General features: G+C 39.8%; 1 long non-coding RNA gene and 1 pseudogene across 2 annotated transcripts, besides 2 other annotated features; one reads left to right on the top strand and one right to left on the bottom strand.

Annotated features, from left to right (window-relative positions):
- The first annotated feature begins 5,044 nt into the window (after nt 1-5,044).
- On the top strand, nt 5,045-14,742 carry LOC105370276 (uncharacterized). 2 transcript variants are annotated; one of them, XR_001749939.2, is made up of 4 exons: nt 5,045-5,900; nt 9,246-9,406; nt 10,291-10,376; nt 11,784-14,742. It is a non-coding gene; the product is annotated as an uncharacterized LOC105370276 (long non-coding RNA). The 2 variants fall into 2 exon arrangements; XR_001749938.3 differs by lacking the exon at nt 5,045-5,900 and having other exon boundaries at nt 8,929-9,406.
- Nucleotides 7,533-8,297: an enhancer, noted in NCBI's record as "OCT4-NANOG-H3K27ac hESC enhancer chr13:80932978-80933742 (GRCh37/hg19 assembly coordinates)". NCBI's record gives its function as "activates a minimal SCP1, AML or CMV promoter by ChIP-STARR-seq in naive and primed H9 embryonic stem cells {active_cell/tissue: H9 hESC(naive and primed)}" and the evidence as "EXISTENCE:reporter gene assay evidence [ECO:0000049][PMID:30033119]".
- Nucleotides 8,298-9,062: an enhancer, noted in NCBI's record as "OCT4-NANOG-H3K27ac hESC enhancer chr13:80933743-80934507 (GRCh37/hg19 assembly coordinates)". NCBI's record gives its function as "activates a minimal SCP1, AML or CMV promoter by ChIP-STARR-seq in primed H9 embryonic stem cells {active_cell/tissue: H9 hESC(primed)}" and the evidence as "EXISTENCE:reporter gene assay evidence [ECO:0000049][PMID:30033119]".
- Nucleotides 18,116-18,224, bottom strand: RNU6-61P (RNA, U6 small nuclear 61, pseudogene; annotated as a pseudogene).

Consider the following 23,413-nt stretch of genomic DNA (forward strand, 5'->3'; position numbering starts at 1 on the left):
AAAAGTATTCCTATTTCCCCACATCCTCTCCAGCATCTGTTGTTTCCTGACTTTTTAATGATCTCCATTCTAACTGTTGTGAGATAGTATCTCATTGTGGTTTTGATCTGCATTTCTCTAATGACCAGTGATGATGAGCTTTTTTTCATATGTTTGTTGGCTGCATAAATGTCTTCTTTTGAGAAGTGTCTGTTCATATCCTTCCCCCACTTTTTGATAGGGCTGTTTTTCTTTCTTGTAACTTTACTTAAGTTCCTTGTAGATTCTGGGTATGATGTCAGATGGATGGATTGAAGAAATTTTCTCCTATTCTGTAGGTTGCCTGTTCACTTTGATGATAGTTTCTCTTGCTGTGCAGAAGCTCTTTAGATTAATTAGATCCCATTAGTTGATTTTGGCTTTTGTTTCCATTGCTTTTGGTGTTTTAGTCATGAAGTCTTTGCCCATGCCTATGTCCTGAATGGTATTGCCAGGGTTTCTTTCCAGGGTTTTTATGGTTTTAGGTTTTACGTTTAAGTCTTTAATCCACCTTGAGTTAATTTTTGTATGAGGTGTAAGGAAGGGGTCCAGTTTCAGTTTTCTGCATATGGCTAGCCAGTTTTCCCAACACCATTAATTAAATAGGGAATCCTTTCCCCATTGCTTGTTTTTGTCAGGTTAGACCAACAACTCTTTTCATGTATTTGGCATTCATTTCCCAAGAACTTCATACAATTGATAAAATAAGTTTTTTTCCTCCATCTTCATAACTACTTTTCAAGTTATTACAAATCATGATACTTTTTAAGTCTAAGATAATGTAAAATACCCTCTGTCAGCCCATAGTACCTGAAGGGTAAGTACCTCTTCCATGAAGTCACTAGCATCATGGCTTAGCAGGTGTTATAAAATGAATCAGCTGGGATCAGGAAGGATTTGGTATGCTTTCAGTAATAGAGAGAGAATTTTAACAAAAATCTCGAGTATATTTTAATACCCATTTTTCATCAATTTATACTGAGTACTTTATGTTCCAGAATTATGCAGAAAAAAATGCATGTATTCTTTTTTTCTTATAATTGCTCTCCAAATAGCAAATGGATTTATTTATTTCTCTTCTGAATTATATACTCACTGTATGAAAAAAAAAAAACCTCAAACATTTCCTAAAATTATAAAAGCAAAAATCTCAGAAAGAATTCTTTAAGTATATTTGAGACATCATAGTGGCATTTCTGGTTAATATTTGGTGAATATTTACTTTAAAATTCCATATTGCTAGTCATTAGATTCCAGACATCTGGAGGTTTGGGGACAGGTTGTTTTGCTAGAATAAGTAGTGTTGTGATAGGCATGCTTTTTTATATTTGCACATTTGTGTTTTCTTAGGATAGATTCATGAAAATAGACTTTAAGTCAAATGTGTGCATATTTAAAATTTCTAATAATACTGCTAATATGCTCCCTAAAACATTATTCCAGTTTGCCTTTCTAACCATTCTATGAGAGTGACTATTTCCCCAAAACCTGACCAATAGCAAGCTTTGTCAAAATTTTAAATCAGTGCTTACCTGGTATGTGACACAGAATATCTAATTGTTCCGTTTTTTCTGTGTTTACTTCAGAAGTTGAGCATATTTTCTTATAGTCATTGGACATTTGCTTTTTCTTCTGTGAATTCAAGTTCATATCCTTTTTCCATGTTTTAATTGAGAGGCTTGTCCTTTATTTATTTATTTTCTGAAGTATCCTATTTAAAAATGCAAATATTCTCCCATTTTCTATTTATCTTTCAAACCTACTTTCAGTATTTTTCCTTTTATTTTGTGTTTCACCATACAAGACATTTTCAACTTATATGAAAACTCATGCCTATCAATTTTTCCATTTACGGTTTCTGGTTGTGTTCAGTTGCTTAAAATAGCTTCTTGCAGCCAAATTATAAAAATATTGGCCCTTCTAGTACATTTATAATTTAACATTATCACTCATACCAACTGGATTCTGGATGATTTTAAATTAGTGCTTAGGTCAGGCGCAGTGGCTCACGCCTGTAATCCCAGAACGTTGGGAGGTGGAGGTGGGTGGATCACCTGAGGTCAGGAGTTCAAGACCAGCCTGGACAAGATGGTGAAGTCCCATCTTTCCAAAAAAAAAAAAAAATTAGCTGGGCATGATGGCAGGTGCCTGTAAGTCCAGCTACTTGGGAGGCTGAGGCGGGAGAATCGCTGGAACCCGGGAGGCAGAGGTTGCAGTGAGCCGAGTCACACCACTGCACTCCAGCCTGGGTGACAGAGAGACTCTGTCTCAAAAATAAATAAATAAATAAATAAATAAGTGCTTATCTGGTAGATGAAGCAGAATATCTCATTGTTTCATTTTTTCTTTGTTTACTTCAGAAGTTTAGCATATTTTCTTATATTCATTGGACATTTGCATTTTTTTTTCTGTGAATCATCCAGAATCCATTTGGTATGAATGATAAAGCCAAGTTGCTTATTGGCATGCTCTCAAGGCCAACCGTGGTGGATGGATAAGTTTGGACGATGAAAGATAATAAAGGAGGATGATCCTATGTGAAATTTTGATTCAAAGCATGACAATTCTCACCCCAAATTAATCTATAGTTGCCAGAGCTAACAAAAATGAAGAACAATCAGTTACATTTGCATTACAGATAAACAAGTTTCTTAGTATGTTTCATAGTGTATTTTATCTTAGTATGTTTCATATTGTATAGTATGTTTCATATTGTATTTTATATGTATTGTATTTCATATTGTATTAAATTTGTGTTAATTTTAACACAAAATTAAGTGGAATAAGTAAATAAAAATACAGTGATATTTGAAATGACAGCCAGAAAGTCATAAAATTTACTGATACCTTATGAATTGAGATACTTAGGTTATTCAGAATTTTTTTTTAGAAAACTATATTATATTCTGCTGGGCGCAGTGGCTCACGCCTGTAATCCCAGCACTTTGGGAGGCCGAGGCGGGTGGATCACCTGAGATCAGGAGTTCGAGACCAGTCTGATCAACATGGAGAAACCCCGTCTCTACTAAAAATACAAAATTAGCCAGGCGCAGTGGTGCATGCCTGTAATCCCAGCCACTCGGGAGGCTGAGACAGGAGAATCGCTTGAACCCGGGAGGTGGAGGTTGTGGTGAGCCGAGATTGCGCCATTGCACTCCAGCCTGGGCAACAGAGCAGGACTCTGTCTCAAAAGAAAAAAAAAAAAGAAAACTATATTATATCCTAAAGATGACCCACATTCTCACTTCATTATCTCTACAGAGCTATTGTTTTTCAATGTATGATGTTTCTACACAACCAAATAGAACTTTGAGTCCAGCTTTATCCAAGACCTAACATAGAGTTAATCACATGCAATAGGGATGTTATTCTATTTTTTTTTCAAATAGCAAGGATTCTTGTTTTGTTAACTATGTTAATGGTTCTCAACTCTGGCCATATATTAGAATTACATGGGGAGATTAAGAAAAATAAGATGACAAGAACCTTCACACAGAGTATGATTTATGTTGATCTAGAAGGGGGTCTTTTATAAATTATTCAATCTCCCAATGCCTCAGTTTCTTTACTAGTAAAGTGGGGGATAAAAGTATTTCCTATGTCAGAGCATCACTGTGAGGATTAAATGCTGAATGCGTGTGGTGTTTTAGAAGATGTCTGACTTCTAATAACCCTTCAATAAATGAAAGTCATTATATTATTATATTTTGAAATCATAATAGGGATTCATAGCTCACCAAAAACAAAACTAGAATGTAGACATGGAACAAAGTATGGATAGATGATGGTGGGTGCTAGAACAGGCTTATACCTGCTTGCAAGAGCTGATTATGTGCATCTCTTCCCATGTTTTTAGTAATGTCAGGTTCGAAAATTAGCCATGGTCGCCAGGCACAGTGGCTCACGCCTGGAATCTCCAAACTTTGGGAGGCTGAAGCCGGTGGATCATCTGAGGTCAGGAGTTTGAGACCAGCCTTACCAATGTGGTGAAACCTTATCTCTACTAAAAATACAAAAATTAGCCAGGCGTGGTGGTGAGAGGTGACAGCGCGCTGGCAGTCCTCACAGCCCTCGCTCGCTCTCCGCGCCTCCTCTGCCTGGGCTCCCACTTTGGCGGCACTTGAGGAGCCCTTCAGCCCACCCCTGCACTGTGGGAGCCCCTTTCTGGGCTGGCCAAGGCCAGAGCCGGCTCTCTCAGCTTGCAGGGAGGTGTGGAGGGAGAGGCGCGAGCGGGAACCAGGGCTGCCTGCGGCGCTTGCGGACCAGCTGGAGTTCCGGGTGGGCGTGGGCTTGGCGGGCCCCGCACTCGGAGCAGCCGGCCGGCCCTGCCAGCCCTGGGCAATGAGGGGCTTAGCACCCGGCCCAGCGGCTGCGGAGGGTGTACTGGGTCCCCCCGCAGTGCCAGCCCACCAGCGCTGCGCTCGATTTCTCCCCGGGCCTTAGCTGCCTTCCTGTGGGGCAGGGCTCGGGACCTGCAGCCCGCCATGCCTAAGCCTCCCACCCCCTCCGTGGGCTCCTGTGCGGCCCGAGCCTCCTCCATCCCTGCTCTGAGGCGCCCAGTCCCAGCGACCACCCAAGGGCTGAGGAGTGCAGGCACACGGCGCAGGACTGGCAGGCAGCTCCACCTGCAGGCCCGGTGTGGGATCCACTGGGTGAAGCCAGCTGGGCTCCTGAGTCTTGGAGAACCTTTAAGTCTAGCTCAGGGATTGTAAATACACCAATAGGCATTCTGTCTCTAGCTCAAGGTTTGTAAACACACCAATCAGCACCGTGTGTCTAACTCAGGGTTTGTGAATGCACCAATCGACACTGTATCTAGCTACTCTGGTGGGGCCTTGGAGAACCTTTGTGTAGACACTGTATCTAGCTAATCTGGTAGGGAGGTGGAGAACCTTTGTGTCTAGCTCAGGGATTGTAAACGCACCAATCAGTGCCCTGTCAAAACAGACCACTCGGCTCTACCAATCAGCAGGACGTGGGTGGGGCCGGATAAGAGAATAAAAGCAGTCTGCCCCTAGCCAGCAGTGGCAACCCTTTCGGGTCCCCTTCCACACTGTGGTAGCTTTGTTCTTTCGCTCTTTGCAATAAATCGTGCTACTGCTCACTCTTTGGGTCCACACTGCTTTCATGAGCTGTAACACTCACCGCGAAAGTCTGCAGCTTCGCTCCCGAAGCCAGCGAGACCACGATACCACCAGGAAGAACGAACAACTCCAGATGCGCCACCTTAAGAGCTGTAACACTCACCGCGAAGGCCTGCAGCTTCACTTCTGAGCCAGCGAGACGACGAACCCACCAGAAGGAAGAAACTCCGAACACATCCGAACATCAGAAGGAACAAACTCCAGACGCGCCACCTTAAGAGCTGTAACACTCAACGCGAGGGTCTGCGGCTTCATTCTTGAAGTCAGTGAGACCAGGAACCCACCAATTCCGGACACAGTGACGGGTGCCTGTAATCCCATCTACTTGGGAGGCTGAGACAGGAGAATTGCTTGAACCTGGGAGGCAGAGGTTGCAGCGAGCTGAGATCGTGCCATTGCACTCCAGCTTGGGTGACAGAGCGAGACTCCATCTCAAAAAAAAAAAAAAAAAAGAAAGAAAAGAAAAGAGAATTAGCCGTGGTCAATGTGTTTACAACACAGACATCCCCAGATGTTGGAATTTATTTTTTTAACCCCAGGAAGCCAGTTATTAACATGCACCACCAAAGGAGAGGATAGAGGTAGCTGACAGGGAAGTCTAAGAAGATACTAAAGGTTATTACCTTCACTTACTTCATGTTTTGACCTGGGCTTGGACTCAGCCAGTTGTGACATCTGTCATTCATGGAACAATCGCCTGAGCTTCAGGTCCCAAGAGATAGTGGACAGAAGAGCATGGTGAGGCTTCACTTGGCTTTGAATATAGAATAACCAGGGTGTGATTGAGCTTTAAATTTATCTTTATCCTAAGATTGGGGTAAGTTATTTAATCCTTTTCTCAAAAACCTAAGGGTTTTTTTGAGGATATGCTCAGGTGGCACAGCAAGCCACAAGATAACATGGGCTATCTAACATTATTTCAATTTACATATATATATATATATATATATATACTTGAAATACAGACCAAAGTAAATTAATAAATGATAATACAAGCCCACTGAAGGCCTACTTTAGGTTAGTGTTGGAACTCCCCAGCTACCTGTTCACTGGTCTTTGCTTTTGTTGCGTACTTAGATGGAAATGAACGGAAAATACAAGAGTATCTCCATGCCTCTGCTTCCCCACTGAACAGAGCAGGATGGTTGTCAGAATGAAAGGAAATCATGGATGTGGGCCATGGAGTAGTGGCAGTAGCTCCTGTTTTGTTTTGTTTTGTTTTGTTTTTGAGACGGAGTCTTGCTCTGTCACCTAGGCTGGAGTGCAATGGCCCGATCTCGGCTCACTGCAACCTCCGCCTCCCGGGTTCATGCCATTCTCCTGCTTCAGCCTCCCAAGTAGCTGGGACTACAGGCGCCTGCCACCATGCCCGGCTAATTTTTTGTATTTTTAGTAGAGACGGGGTTTCACCGTGTTAACCAGGATGGTCTCGATCGCCTGACCTCGTGATCCGCCTGCCTCGGCCTCCCAAAGTGCTGGGATTACAGGCGTGAGCCACTGAGCCCGGCTGCTCCTCTGTTTTTAGGAAGGTTTGTTGGGTCAGCTTATGGCTTAGGAGTTTAGCGATTAGTAAGCACCCAACCCAGGGTCTGAACATTGACTCAAGGCCTCAGTAGCCCTAAGTGCTCCCTGAGAACACAAATCCTAATAGACTAAACATGGAAAGAGCCAGAGTCTCATTGCCTGAAAAATTATTTTTGCCGATCTTTACAAAAATCAGCATTTGTTATTGTTCAATTTTGCCTTTATTTGACTTGCTTTAATGAAAGAAACATAGTAAAGATTTTCTACAAATGATTGAAACATTCTTCACTTATGGAATCACATTTATTTATTTATTTATTTATTTATTTATTTATTTATTTATTTTTGAGACGGAGTTTTGCTCTTGTTGCCCAGGCAAGAGTACAATGGTGCAATCTCTGCTCACTGCAACCTCCGCCTCCCAGGTTCAAGCGATTTTCCTGCCTCAGCCTCCCAAGTAGCTGGGATTACAGGCATGTGCCACCATGCCTGGCTAATTTTGTATTTTTAGTAGAGATTGGGTTTCTCCATGTTGGTCAGGCTGGTCCTGAACTCCCGACCTCAGGTGATCCGCCCGCCTCTGCTTCCCAAAGTGCTGGGATTACAAGTGTGAGCCACCGCGCCCAGCCGGAATTACATTTTTTTTTTAAAAGCGTTTTGTATCATTCTGCTAATTCACAGTAGATTGCAAATATGCAACATTGTTATTTCAATTTTTTTCTATGAATCTGAACAAAATCATACGTAAAAAACTTCAATGTGAGTTTTAATTTCTTAATTTTAAAAAACCAAACCACAATTTTACTATTTTTGCAAGAAAGATAAATCACATAAGACTTACCTATACAAATAATTCAACTATAAATTTACCTTTTTACAAATTTTCTTCTTTGGAAGCAGCAGATATGTAAAATCATTACATATTATGTTCATGCTGTATGTACATAAAATGGACTACAGACCCCAAAAGTAAATTCTTTGGAGATTTGGTTCCAAAGAGGGAAAACAAACCCTCTTTGTCTGAGTATGTGAAAGGTACCAAAAAAGAGTGAAAACCAGTTTTCCTCTTTTTTTTTTTTCTTTACTCTTTTGTTTTTGTAGGAGAACCAGCAGTGGAAGAAAAGATCACTTCCTTTGTAGACACTTTATGGGTTTCGGATTCTGTAAACTCTGGCACATAACTTGACCCCAAAGTTAATGAAATCCTGTTAGACTTTCCCTGCCCTCCTTCCTGCTTCCATCCTTCAGATTATCTCACGTTTTAAAAATTCAATTTCTATTTGTATACACGTGATCTTCATGTCATTGGCTTTTTATGCAGACACATTTCACCTACATCCTTTCCTTCCCTCATCTGGCAGCCAGTTGAGCTTCTTCCTGCCTTGAATACCACATTCCCTAGTTCTTCAAGCTCAGTCATTAGCACCCTGTCCCCCTACTAAAATTATGAATGAAAAGCCTTGTTGTTCTTTACAAATAACTCAGGCTGCCTCAGTCAGTCAAATTCGAATGGAAGTGACTGCCAGACAAAGGGGCGGGATGATGGACAGTGCTCACAGCAAGTCATCAATGCCCACAGGAAGTTTTTTAAGCCACAGTATAGGTAGAGAGGCTTGGGCGTTCCCAGAGGACAAGCTTACAGAAGGAGGCTGGGAGGTGGGGGGAGGGGGACTTTCTGTGTCTGTTTGGAACTTAGAAAAAACTTCCATGAAGCTCAGAGATAACAATGTACAGAGTCAGTTTTGCCCTACCAAGAACTTAAAAATCCAGCCGTGGAGACATCTACACCTTGCAGTAATTCTGGTTTGCACCGACACACACAGACAAAAGTGAAGGCACCAACCATTTACTTGGTTTTGAATGCTGAACGGTGCAAGGGTGGCTTACATACTTGGAGCTGCACAACTCCCTGCTGAGAAGTTGCATTGTCTTGGGCCCCTCTTTCACAACAGGGGAAAAGGTAATTGACAGCCCGATTGTTTGGCTGGGACCCCTGCTGTTTTAAAATCCTAGAAGGCCCCAGTCACACGTTGTCAATAATAGCCGTCGGAGGTGAGGAGTGAAGAAGGGCTGTTCAGGAAACAGTTTGAGCCCTTCAAGTGGACAGGCCTCAGTGACTTCTGCACTCTGGCTCCCACAAGCAGCTCATTCAAAAATAACCTTAAAGTAATAAATCAAACTTGTTTCCTGAACTATACAAGGAACAGCTGGTTATTTTTCCTCACTTTTTTTTTCCAAAAGCCAAAAAAAAAAAAAAAAAAAAGAATGAGATTTTACTACAGGAAACCAAGCATGTCAAAATTTGGCAAAGCAATTTGGATGATTTAACAGTTAAACACTTCTCTTTTTAATGTTATGCTTTCATCAGTCTTTTTTATTTAAGCTTTTCAGTTTTGCATTCTGTTTGCTGCAATTAGTGTCCCTTATCTGTTCACTCCCTACTTTTGAAAGGAAAATGAGTTTAGGATCCTGTCTTTAGAGTATTTTGCTGTGTAATTTCTAATGTACTGGTCAAGTAGCTCAACTTATTTTACAGGTAAAATTTGTTTTCTTCCACAGAGTTGAGTTTGGATTTAGATCTACAGCTCCACATATTTGTTTCTCCTGAGACCCATATATTTTGGAGTTCTGATGACAAGGCAGTTTTTCTTTAGTCTATTGATTTAGGAACCCTGACCTAGGAGTGCATATGCTGTAACTGAAGTAGTCTGGTGCTTTAAGTAAGAGCATTTTGCAATTTTTCTGTCTCTTTGGATCTCTGTTTGTGTCTTACTTTGTGTGTCTCTTTCTCTCTTTAAACATGTTGCACTCTAGATTCTGGAAAAAAGCATCTTCTCTTTGACTTTACAAATAATTAAAATAGAGGCATAAATAAACAATGTAAAATAATTTCCTTCTGTGATGATTACTATGTATCTTTATTTTTATAGATGACTAATGTTTTGAACAGAAACCATTTTAAATGACAATTTTTTAAATCAAAGAAATTTTGATCTTAAAAATTGTGCATCTTAGAGATGAGTTTTTCACAACTTGTGGACATCTAAAATTAAGAATGAATGTGTCAGATTTTAATGCACTGTGTCTATTTCAATCAATTTAAATATGATTGAACTGTTAATATTAAAATTAAGTATAAGGTTATGTAAAACATCTCTTTTCACAGGATAGTTTGATCACTATTTAATGAATTAAAAGAAGTGCTGGTCAGTTTAACAGTATATGGAAAATTACAAGTTATACTTTGAGATATTGTCATACATGTATCATAAATTTATTTTTCTCCTTTGACCATCCTTTCATAATAAAATGTTTGTAATGAAACGTATGCTTACAGGAAGATAATACAATTCAATTTACAATGGAATTAGGTCGTGGTAGCCTTCATTTTCTTTTATATTTGCAGTAAACAACCATGCCATAATAGCACAAATAAATCCAGCTTTATGCTATATGGTTAGACTAACACACTTGGTATACTTGCAGTATCTTGGCTGATACAACTGTGAATCCACATGGGTGTGGCTTCTATATAAATGTTTCTTCCATATATGGTTGATATTCATACTGAACCTGTTTTGATACAATTTTTCTTCACTTTCAGCATTTTCAGCTTCAAACATGTGCTACCTGACTAGATGGAATTCCTTGAGAACTGTATTAACATGTTTCAAAGAGTTGAATTAACAGGTTAGTACCATGTCAGAAAAGAGTGTTCCTTGAAAAGTTGCACAGTAGTTATACAGACAGTTCACAAACAATTATGTAATTCATAATTTATATGTGAGTTACACATTGAAAATACCATCTTTAAAATAAATATTCAGTTCTATAGATGATTCATTTCTTTCTCATTAAGTCTAAGCCTTTTGTGGTGCTAAAGGATACTCAGGAATTGATGAACTAAGTGGACCCTCCTGCAGCCTCCGTCACTCCCTCCCTTGGCTTCTGTGGACTCTGGGCCTTAGTAGGGATGAGATAGTGAGTGTAGACTGAAAGTGCTCTGTACAGACTTGCTTTGTGGCCTCCTGTTCAGCTGCCAGTCTCACAGCTTGCCCTGAGAATGGACTTCCTGTGCTGTCATTTACACTCAGTATCACACTAAGGGCTCTTTGTCACTCAGTCTTTGAGACAGAAGGGGGCGAGATAACAAATCTAGACTGCTTGTGTTGACTTTGTGGATAAAGTAAAGGGCTGGAGTCAAGAACCCTGGGTCTTATCCTAACTCTGCAACTGCCTTTCCTGTGACATTGAGCCAGCTTTTGACCTCTCCATTCCTCAGTTTTCCTCATCTATGAAATGAGGATCCCTATACTGTGTTCTCTTATTTTATTACAGAGATGTGGTTTCTGAAAGAGTTTCTAAATGCTTAAAGCCCTTAGTAAAAGATTTTTTTCTACAAGTAGATAAAATGACCTTTTTCTGCTTTGGAGAGATGGGATGGATACCGCAGTTGATTAATTACTCCCTACTCCCAGAAATACTTCTCTTTAGAACCTCGTAAGTAGGGCCTTTCCCTTCTACCGTTGTAAGTTTTTTCTCATTATTTCATTTTGTGTGCTGTCTCTTCCCCCTGCAATATTTCCTTCCTTTCTATGTGGGAAATGATAGCCCCATGCTATGGGATCAGGGTGCGTAGAAGTTGGTAAATATAAAGTACACTTATAAAAGGCTGTGTTCAAAGTGCATCTGCAGAGACGTGGAGGAAAACAAGGAGAGCATGCTGAGTGACAGGAATGAATGAGGGCACACAGTAAAGGCCATGGAAGCTTCAGCAAATTTATTGGCTTCAGAAACATAAATCCACAAAAGCAGCTACCACCTGGCTAGATGGGTCTCTGGGTCCTGGGCCCACTAATTTAGAAGGATCTTTTTGTAAAGAGATGATGTTGGACAGGGGTCAGAACCTATAGTGAAATTCAGGGATTCTCTCTATGGAGTGGGATGAAGTGTCTCTTCCACTGATATCAGTAGTTATATTCTTTTGCTTATTTAGTTCAATTATGTGAATAAATGGAATGAAAAGCGATTTACTCTACTTCAGTTAGAATTTGTAAAATATTGTGATTTTTTTTTCTTTTTTTTTTTTTTTTTGAGATGGAGTTTCGCTCTTGTTGCCCAGGCTGGAGTGCAATGCTGCGATCTCGACTCACCGTAACCTCCGCTTCTGGGGTTCAAGTGATTCTCCTGCCTCAGCCTCCCAAGTAGCTAGAATTACAGGTATGAGCCACCACACGCCCGGCCAGTATTGTGAGTTTTAAAGAATGCATTTTAATATGTTTCACTTTTTAAAGCTCCTAAGTGGTTTTGTTGCTAATTTTTTTAAATTTTGTTTTGTGAAGAGATTGGTAACATAAATTGTAAAGCAGAAATTAATTCACCTAGCTTTCCTCATCACAGTTTAAGACGGATATTTGTGTTCTGGTTTGCTTATTTGTTTTTCCGGGTCCACACATTCACTCATATGTGTTTAGATTTTTCATGTGGAAGGCAGTGATATAATTTCAGGCCTATATGTTTTGACCCTCTGTTCACACATGGTTGTTATATGCCCTGACATTGTGTTTACTTCACATTTCCTATTTTTCCACTGTATATCTGAGGATATTTCATGCTATTTTGTTACCTAAAGAGAGGCTACTGCTACATGGGGAGACATATATACATATATGTAGGAGTACACCTATGTGTGCATGTGTGTGTATTTATAAATCTCTCTCCATGTAGCAGTACACATATATATATGTATATATAATTTGTTTTTATGAGAAGGATGTGAAAAGATACACAAGTCTGTTTATAATACAGATCTGAAGGAGAGATAGGCAAATATTGATTTAAAAAAAATTTCCCCTGATTTGTTTCACTTTGTACAACAAACAGGTATTACTTTCTTAATTAAAAACATCAATAAAAAATGTTTCAATACTGATTAAAAACAGTTAAAGAGGAAATTTAACAGTGGCAAATAATATCTGTATTTTATAAGGGTTTTGCCAGTCTTGACAAAGTATCTAGAAATTCGCTAAAAGACAGTTTCTTTTGTTTTTCAGAGCACACATTAAAAAAAAAAAAAAATCGCAATGATTAGTGCTCCCTCTGCTGGTTTCCCTGCAACAGTTTGTTGCGGTGATTTGGGAGGATGAAAAGACAGCAAGGAAAATTCTGTTACTTTTGGTCTTTAAACATTATTTCTATATACAAGTGTTATCCTTGATTGGTAGCAAATGCCAATGTAGTTTCTGAAAATTTATTCTTTCTTAAAATTCAATAGTGATTCTGAAGTTGGGCTAGATAATTATAATCCTTTTAAAATTAATTCCTCCTTTCTTATATCATGAAGCAGGACATAAAGCATAACAATTCTTATTTATTGGGATTTTTCTTGGGTAGGAGTTAACCTTATATAGCTAACTCTCAGTAACTTGACCTAGCAGTAGTAAAGTTGGCTATTTGAACATCAAGCTGACACTCTAGTAAGCAAAATAGAGGTTTGGAGTGACATTATCACTGGAGAATTACATTCTGTAATTGAACACTTTGCTGTATCATTATTTTAGTCTACATCATCCTATGTGAAAGATATTTGGAAATTGCATAGTTGATTTAATTTATCTTGATATCCATACTATAATTAAAGATTCTTAGAATTCATTGGATTCATCAATTTGCTCTCTGTGAATTTGTACTTTCATGAATCAGAGTATGTTGATCCATATACAGTGTTCATTTAACTAATACTTGTATTAAATCACTTCTAAATGCTTATTATACCCTGTATTATAGTATTATATTCTGAGTCTTAAAGGTGCTTAATGTGAAGATTCTCTCTCTACATATTCAACTCTTACTAACTTTTGGCTTTAGGTAGAAATCAGTTAGTGTATTATATGATAAAATAGGAAACTATTTCCCTAGGGGTATAGGTATTCAGTAGGGAGCTTTGGAGTCTCAATGAGCTTCTTAAAGAAGCATTTTTAATGGTAGGTTTTAGGGAGAGTTTTTGTAGTAAGATAAAGTAGATGAGAAAGTGTTGCCTCTAAACAATCAACAAGCTGGGAATGGGGTGCAGAATGAGGAGAACCCTAAGCAATAGGCAATAAGGAGTGAAAGGAAGGAGGTGTCACTCATTGGGAAAGAAAAGGAACTGTATGTCCTCTACTGAGAGCTGCTGTCTTCTTAAAAGTCATTTTTGTGAGGTGTGCTTGCGGAATGGTAAAACAGAAAGGAAATAACAGAGTAGAAGGTCAGATCTCCCAAATCAACCTTACTCATCACTGGTGTGCAAGATACCATCATCAGATCATTTTAACACTCTGGAAAATACCACGGAGAGGTTTAGCAAGTGACAATTAACATCAGGGAGAAGCAGTTTCTAATAAGGAGATCCAGCCATTGCTGCTGGAGTTTAGATGTGGAATTTCTAGGCTCTGGAAAGTGTAGAGGCAGAAATGAGGTGATTACTTTCCTCTCCATCATAAGCATTATGGCTAACACCCCTATAACAAAGGCAGGTTATCAAGAAAAAAGAATAATACATTTATTTAAGCACAGTTTGATATGATATGGGAGGCTTCAGAATGAAGACCCAAAGATGCAGGGAAAATTGTTGCGTTTTATGCTGATGTTCAATGAAGTATGGATAGCCATATAAAATATGATTGGACAAAAAGGATAAAATCTAATGCTTTGATGCTAATAGACAGAGTCAGGAAACTCGGCAAAGCCTGTCCAGATTTTTCTTGGTCTTTCTGTACAGCATTATTTTGTTGACAAAAAAAGCCAAACTCTGTAAGATATTTGAAGAGGTTTATTCTGAGCCAAATATGAGTGGCAGGGCCTTTGACACAGCCTCAGGAGGCCCTAAGAACATGCACCTAAGAGGATTGTGTTACAGCTTGGTTTAATACATTTTAGGGAGACAGAAGTTATAGGCATGTAAGGTATACATTGGTTTGGCCCAGAAAGGTGGGACATCTCAAAGTGAGGGGGGAAGGTGGGGAAGGGGAGCTTCTTCGTCATAGATGGATTCAAAGATTTTCTGATTGACAATTGGTTGAAATAATTAAGCTTGGCTGGGTGTGGTGGTTCACGCCTGTAATCCCAGCACTTCAGGAGGCCAAGGGAGGTGGATTGCTTGAGCTCAGGAGTTCAAAGCCAGCCTGGGCAACATGGCAAAAACCCGTCTCTACTAAAAATACAAACATTAGCTGGGTGTGGTGGCACATGCCTGTAAACCCAGCTACTTGGGAGGCTGAGGTAGGAGTATTGCTGGAGCCTGGGAAGTCAAGGCTGCAGTGAGTTGTGATTGCACCACTGCATTGCAGCCTGGGTGACAGAGTGAGACCCTATCTCAAAAACAAAACAAAACAAAACAAAAATAATGATAATAATTAAGCTTTGCCTGATGACTTGAAGTCAGCATAAAGAAATGCTTGAGTTAAGATAAGGAGGTTTGTGGAAATCAAGGTTCTTACTATGTAGGTGAAGCCTCTTAAATAATAGATGTAAATGTCTCTTATGGGACATAAAAGATGCCAGACTCTTACTTAAATCTCTCCTGGGTCAGGAAAAGACAAGGAAAGGGAAGGGGATTATTTACTGAATGTAGATTTTCCCCACAAGAGACAGCTTTGCAGGGCCATCCAAAAATATTTCAAATAAATATATTTTGGAGTAAAATACTTTGTTTTTTTTTGGGGGGGGGGCCTGTTATTTGTCATGTGATACTATAAGAGAGTTAGGTTGAATTTGCTATCTTATTGCTACAAAGAATCTGTTTCGTCAGCCTTATGATCTCTATTTCTTTCTTTCTTTCTTTCTTTCTTTTTTTTTGAGATAGTCTTGCTCTGTTGTCCAGGCTGGAGTGCAGTGGTGTGATCTTGGCTCACTGCAACCTCTGTCTCCCGGGTTCAAGCAATTCTCCTGCCTCAGCCTCCCAAGTAGCTGGGATTACAGGCACCTGCCATCATGCCTGGCTAATTTTTGTATTTTTGTAGAGATGGGGTTTTACCATGTTGGCCAGGCTGGTCTTGAACTCCTGACCTCAGGTGATCCACCTGCCTTGGCCTCCCAAAGTGCTGAGATTACAGGCATGAGCCACCACACCCAGCCTATGATCTCTATTTCAGTGTTAATGCTGGTCAGTGGTGTCTTAACTCTGAAGAGAACAGAGTATAATAAGGCATGTCGGACCCCACTTCTTGTCATGGCCTGAACTAGTTCTTCAGGTTTCTTTCAGATCACCTTGGCCTAGAGGGGGGTCTATTCAGTCAGTTGAGAGGCTTAGGATTTTAATTTTTGCTAACGCTTTCCTTTGGGATATGGAGCAGGACCCCTCTGGAATGAGGGTCTAATTTCCTTATGGCCAGGTATTACACAGAAAGATGGGGGAAGGATAGAGTTGTATTTTTAGGCTTTAGGACTGACTTTAGAGAAAAAGCGTTCTAATTTCTATGGCTTGCCTCAGGGAGAATGAGGGGCAAGAGACAGGAGGGCAGAAGGTTGGAGAGAGACTTTGCTTTGCAAGCCTTCGCTTTGGGGTTTCTTTTTCTGAACCCCAACATTTCTCATTCTGAAACTTCCTCAAGAAGTTTCACAGTCCAAAAATTGATTGATAGATTGTCTCATAAGCCATTGAATCAGTCTCTCAGTCCTGATAATAGGCCAGTCTAGCTAAACAGTTAACAGTTGTGTCTCATTTCAGGCAGTGGTGTTGCCGATGGGCTTCCATGAAAGTCGGGGCTCTATACAGTGTGAGCAATGAGATATTTACTTTTGAGTATCACTTCCTGAGCCCCAACAAAGGACTTTAGAGAGTGCTGGGTGTGGATGTTGTGGAGGGGTTGGACTGAGGGGGCATAAATTCTTGGATTCCAGTGCTAGAGGACCTGGAGTCAACAGGGAGTGAATCAAAGCGAAAACAAGACTCAGTTTCTATGGCTGGGCTCTGAGGTCAGGAATACTAATGGTAGGATCCCTGCTCTGGAAAGTGGGATGTGAGTGGCCATGGATAAGGCTGATTTGATACTAACCTCAATATACTGCTACATTCCTTCATCCTGAGACTGAAGAGGGTTTGCACAGGAGTGCATGTTCAGTTTAGGACCTAGAAGCACACAGATAACTGTGCCAAAGGGAGGAATTTTAGGAGACATTATTGGATGAGAGGTCATGCCCCTTGCTTCACAAAGCATGATGTATGGGCTAATGCTTACTTAGCCTGCTCATAAAGTCATTCTACATTAGAGGTTAGAGACTAAAGATACCAGAACACCCATTCTTCAAACAACTTTTACATTTACTTTCAGGACCACATAATTGTTCTCTAACTTTTCATATATTTGTTTTCAGTTTTTTTTCTCTTCAGATGATATACTTTAAGTTTGTTCAATGCAGGAACGTTTTTTCAGAGCTTTTGCATTTCCCCAAGTGCCTAACTTAAATTTTTACCCAGATTACTGTAAATGACAGAGCTGTTAAGGTTTTTTGCTTGTTTGTTTTCTTTTTTTTTTTTTTGAGACGGAGTTTCGCTCTTGTTGCCCAGGCTGGAGTGCAATGGCACGATCTCGGCTCACGGCAACCTCCGCCTCCCGAGTTCAAGCGATTCTCTTGCCTCAGCCTCCCGAGTAGCTGGAATTACAGGCATGCACCACCATGCCCGGCTAATTTTTTGTATTTTTAGTAGAGACGGGGTTTTTCCCTTGAAGAAAGAATTGTCCTAAAAATTTCAGAAAACTATAAGTGGATTTTGCTTATGATAATCAAGCTGATACTTGAAAACAATTGAACACAGGGAACTTTTCATTGAAGGCATATATATATATATAAATATATATATAAAATATGTATATAAATATATAAAAAAAATATAATAAATATATATAATATAAATATATATATAATATAAATATATATAAATATATAAATATATAAATATATATAAATATATAAATATATATAATATATATAATATATTAATATATATATTATATATAATATATATAAATATATAAATATATATATTATATAATATATATTATATAATATATAAATATATATATTATATAATATATATTATATATAAATATATAATATATATAATATATATAAAAACATATAAATATATATAATATATTTATTATATATATATATTTTTTTTGACAGAGTCTTACTCTGTCACCCAGGCTGGAGTGCAGTGGTGTGATCTCAGTTCACCGCAACCTCCACCTCCTGGGTTCGAGCGATTCTCCTGCCTCAGCCTCCCGAGTAGCTGGGATTACAGGCGTGTGCCACCATACCTGGCTAATTTTTTTTTTTTTTTAATGAAAACCACAATTTTGTCATTGGGTGCCACCCGTTTTTGCTTAGATTCACACTATTTCCTTAGTGCTAGTTAGCAGATACTGAAATGATCTTCCCAGACTGTGCAAAATATGGAACGCTTCACGAATTTGTGTGTCATCCTTGGGCAGGGGCCAATGCTAATCTTCTCTGTATCGTTCACAATTGTAGTATATGTGCTGCCAAAGTGAGCCCTAATTTTTGTATTTTTTGTAGAGATGGGGTTTCACCATGTTGGTCAGGCTGGTCTCGAACTCCTGACCTCAAGTGATCTGCCTGCCTCGGCCTCCCAAAGTGCTGGGATTACAGGCGTGAGCCACCGCGCCTGGCTTTTTTTTTTTTTTTTTTTTTGACACAGTCTTGCTTTGTTGCCAAGGCTGGAGTGTAGTGGCGTGCTATCAGCTCACTGCGAGCTCTGCCTCCCAGGTTCAAGCAATTCTTCTGCTTCAGCCTCCCGGGTAGCTGGGACTACAAGTGCACGCCACCATGCCCAGCTAATTTTTTTTTTTTTTTTTTTTTGTATTTTTAGTAGAGATAGGCTTTCACCATGTTGGCCAGGATGGTCTCCATCCCCTGACCTCATGATCCTCCCGCCTTGGCCTCCCAAAGTGCTGGGATTACAGGAGTGAGCCACTGGGCTGGGCCAATGATAGCTATTTTTAAAACTACTCTTTACATTGTTAGAAGAACCATTCATCGAAAGATTACTCATATGTTCTTAAGACTCTAGGAAATGCAGTTTGGAAAGGGAAAGCTTTTATCCATATTCCCTAGGAGATCCACATGGAATAAGTTATATGTTTAGATGGATGCATGTGTCCCTCACCCTTGTGCCACATGAAATCTGACACTAAGCAATGCATTAATCTAAGTAAGGACAGGAAGCATACAAGATCTGTTGGAATTACTTCAAGCCTCACAGCTATCTTTTAGTTTTATACATATTACTTGAGAAAAAAATATGAACCTTGTTTCTTGCCCTCCATACCCTTCTGGTCAGAAGGATAGAGATCCTCCAGATCTATACTACTTAATACGGTAGCGGCCAGGTGCAGTGGCTCACGCCTGTAATTCCAGCATGTTGAGAGGCTGAGGTGGGAGGACTGTTTGGAGCCAAGAGTTCGAGACCAGCCTGGGCAACATAGCAAGACCCCCAACTCTACACAAAAATGAAAAAATTAGCTGTGTGTTGTGGTGCGTGCCTGTAGTTCTGGCTCCTCAGGAGGCTGAGGTGGGAGGACTGCTTGAGCCCAGGGTGGTTGAGGCTCCAGAGAGCTGTGATTGCGCCACTGCCCTCCAACCTGGGTGGTAGAGCCAGACTCTATCTCAAATAAAGCCGAAACCCAAACCAAAATACAGTAGCTATTATGCACATGGGGCTAGTGAGCACTTGAAATGTGCTGAAATATATACCGTGTTTCAAAGACTTAGTGCAAGGCCAGATGTGGTGTGACACCTGTAATCTCAGCATTTTGGGAGGCTGAGGTGGGAGGATCACTTGAGCTCAGGAGTTCAAGGCTGCAGTGAGCTATGATTCTGCCACTGCACTCTGGCCTGGACAACAGAGCAAGACGCTGTCTCAAAAAAAAAGAAAAAAAAATCAAAGACTTGGTACAAAGAAATAAAAAGAATGTGAAATATCTAATTAACTCTTAAAGTATTGATGATATGTTGAAATGATACTGTTTGGATTAAATAAAATGCTAGTAAAGTTATTTTCACCTGTTTCTTTTTACTTTTTCACTATTCATAAATTTTTAGTTACTCACATGGCTCATATTATATTTCTGTTGGACAGAGCTTCCCTAGGCCAATAGTTCTTAATCTTTCTTGATTAAATAATAGATTTCTTTGAGTATAGGATAAAAGCTCTATAAATCATAAATATTGATAGATACTGTCAGTTCTGCTATACCCAGCATGTGTTCTTAAGGTGTGTACTGTGCAATATCATGCAATAGAAACCACAGGGCTGGAATTAGGGGAAAACATTCACAATTTTGTAATTGATACATAAAGGGTTAGGAACTTAATAAAAACAGTAGCACGGTAAATGGTGAAGATCTATATCAATGCTGTAATAAATGTAGCCCTTGAAAAGTATTTCTTTTGTTTGTGGAATGGACATTTGATACAACTGCTCTCAGACAGACACATGCCTTCCCTGTTTCCACGCCGGCAGCCTTGTGTACAAGAGGAGATAGAAAAAGAATGAGGAAAAGGAGCAAAACAACAGAGAACATAGAGGAAAATGCAAAATAGGCTGAGAGGAAAGAAGGAAAAATTAAGGAGAGGGCAGGTGGCCATATGGCTAGTGTGCATGGTTGCAGCTTGCGAGTTATTGGAAAGTAAGGTGTAACTGCAGACATAGAAGGGTGTAGCTGCTCATTGTCCTTGTGCAGTGTGCACATGTGAGGATTCCTGCATAGTTCAATTGGGTGCAGTTTTCTGTGTTGGCCTAGTGATGAGATTGGCAGATAAAATTGGCATAAGCAAATGTGAAGTAGCATTGTGCTAAAAGCTTTCCTAATATATCTGTCACATTGGGCGAGATTTTCCAAACAAGCATTATAGCAGAACTGACTGTAGATACGTACACACATCACAGTAGATTCATGCACAGCCCACACAGGCAACCTCCAGACTAGGGTGTCCGAGAAGGCCAAGCATTAGGCATCGATGCTGGAATGCCAGCCTTAGATATGTTCAAGGCCTTGCAGTCAGAAAGACTTTATGAGAACGGCAGCCTGATGAGCAATTTGGAGCCCATGTTGCTATGTGGGATGAGGGTGGGATTTATGGCACTGGAAAGATTTGTTGATTTTGGGGGCAGAGAAGGTGAATTCATATAGTGACCAACTGGGAATGACCCAGCTACACAATCTTTCTAATCTATGCCAAAGCTGTACAGAGAAAACTTATTTGTGAATAGGATTGCCAAATTTGTTCCCAGTGACAGAAAATCTATACTTGGTAAGTAGGGAAATTCCAATAGGTAACAGAGAAAACGGGCAGGTTCTGTCCTAATTTCCTGCTCCTACTTGTTCTGGGATTTAGTTGCAGTTCATAGCATCTGGTTCCTGTGCATTCACAGAAATAGGCCCAAGTACCTGTCAGAAGGAAATGAATTGAGAGAATCTTCAAGTCACTCAGAACAGTGAAAGTAACTGAAAATTAAATTAAACCATTGAAGTCGGTTGCCTATAAACATGATGGTGATGATAAGCTAACATTTATTAGACTTTTGGGATACACTAGGAACTACACTATGAGATTTTTGTGAACTATTTTATGTAATGTTCCTGATATTTTGAGGTAGATTTTATTATTATCTCTTTTTATGGATATAAGTAACTCAGCCAACATCACACAGGTAGCAAGCAGCAGAGTTGGGACTTGAACTCAGGAAGTCTAAGGGTTTGCATAGGAACCACTGAACTCTTTGGTTTTATGAGTGGCATTACTGGGGCCTTTCATAGTCTACTGTGTACACATTCCCAGTCTTGTTAAGTGTGTGTAATGAAATTCTGTTACTTATATTATTTTTTTAAACGAAAGAAAAATACCAAAAATAAATAAATAAATAAATGGATTTAAGCAAGGAAGCCTACCAAAATGTTTTTATTGTTGTTTTTGAGACAGGATCTCACTCTTGCTGCCCAGAGTGAAGCGAAGGCTGGAGTGAAGTGGCTTGATCATGGCTTTCTGCATTCTTGACCTCCCAGGCCCAAGCAGTCCTCCTGCCTTAGCCTCCCAAGTAGCTGGGACACTACAGGCACATACCACCGGGCCTGGCTAATTTTTTAATCTTCCTGGAGACAGGGTCTCTCTATGTTGCTTAGATTGGTTTCAAACTTCTGGGCTTCAAGCAATTCTCCCACCTCAGCCTCCCAAAGTTCTGGGGTTACAGGCATGAGCCACCATACCCAGCCCCCAAAATGATTTTAAAGAATGGAAATCAACTTTGAGACTCTACATCCAGTATTTTATAATGGATGTATTTCCATAGCATGACTTGAAAATGTACCTACTTTATACATGTGTGAAAGGTGCTTTCTATTCATGTGTAGACTCTTAAGGGAGCTCCTTTTACTATCAAATGTATACATTATTACCCCCTTAAATTTCAGTAACTGCTGGTCATATAATCAATTTTAAGTTGCTGCTCAGTTTTATAGAATAAATGTTTAATATTAGACTGCTAGAATATTAACAAATGCCATTCATTATTTTTCAGGAATGAGTATAATACTAATTGTTTCACATGTCCAGTTAAATCTGTTTGTGTGATAAAAGAGAATGCTATGCTGCACCAGATGTAGCACATTGTTCTAAAATCCTGTGATATATTTGTCAAAACTATTTTCCAGTTTATTATCTTTACTCTAGAGTCTAATTTATAACTAGTATATATAGTAAGGCATTTTATATTTAAGATAAATCTATTATTAAATGAAAATATTTCTCATCAATTGGTTATAGGTAATAGCTCATTTTATTTCCTTTGTTTTATAAATCTATTATTTTTCCAGTTACTTTTCCAGTTACTTGGTTCTCATGAGTAGATTAGAAATGGGAGATCTTGGCTGGGCACGGTGGCTCACGCCTGTAATCCCAGCACTTTGGGAGGCCGAGACGGGCGGGTCACGAAGTCAGGAGTATGAGACCACCCTAACTAACATGGTGAAACCCTACCTCTACTAAAAATACAAAAATTAGCCAGCATGGTGGCCTATGCCTGTAATCCCAGCTACTCAGGAGGCTGAGGCGGGAGAATCGCTTGAACCTGGGAGGCGGAGGTTGCAATGAGCCGAGATTGCACCACTGCACTCCAGCCTGGGCGACAGAGTGAGACTCTGTCTCAAAAAAAAGAAATGAGAGATCTTAGAAATGAGAGCAGAAGACCATTCTTCCTCTTCTCCCCTTTTTAAAGCCCCAGTTTCAGATATTACAAGGCTCCAGCATGTTTTGTCACCACTGTCTGTTGTGTGAAAGAAAATGAGAATACACATTTGCAAATGAGATTTCCCTAAAGAACTATCTCCCTGTCTGTTTTAAAAAAGAATCCTAGTAGGAGTACATTTCTCTTACTTTTGGATAATAAATACTATGTGAGGCACTCTTTCTCTTCCTTGGATGCTTCTTCAGATTTTGATGGAGAAGAAACATGAACCGGGTTTGCTCTCTGCATTCCTTTGTCTGATTTCCCAAATGTTCTTGGTTGCACTTCCCAGAAAGATGGAATGTCTGGGACTACTCAGGGGAAACTGTTAGGTGCAGCTGCTCTCCCCTCCAGTACTGGCCATCGCTCAGTTCCCCTGAAGGGAATATTCCTACATGGCTTCTCCAGTGGTGTAACACAGCTCTTCTGCCAGCAGCCTCGG

This window comes from Homo sapiens, chromosome 13 (genome assembly GCF_000001405.40).
Source record: "Homo sapiens chromosome 13, GRCh38.p14 Primary Assembly".
NCBI lineage: Eukaryota > Metazoa > Chordata > Mammalia > Primates > Hominidae > Homo > Homo sapiens.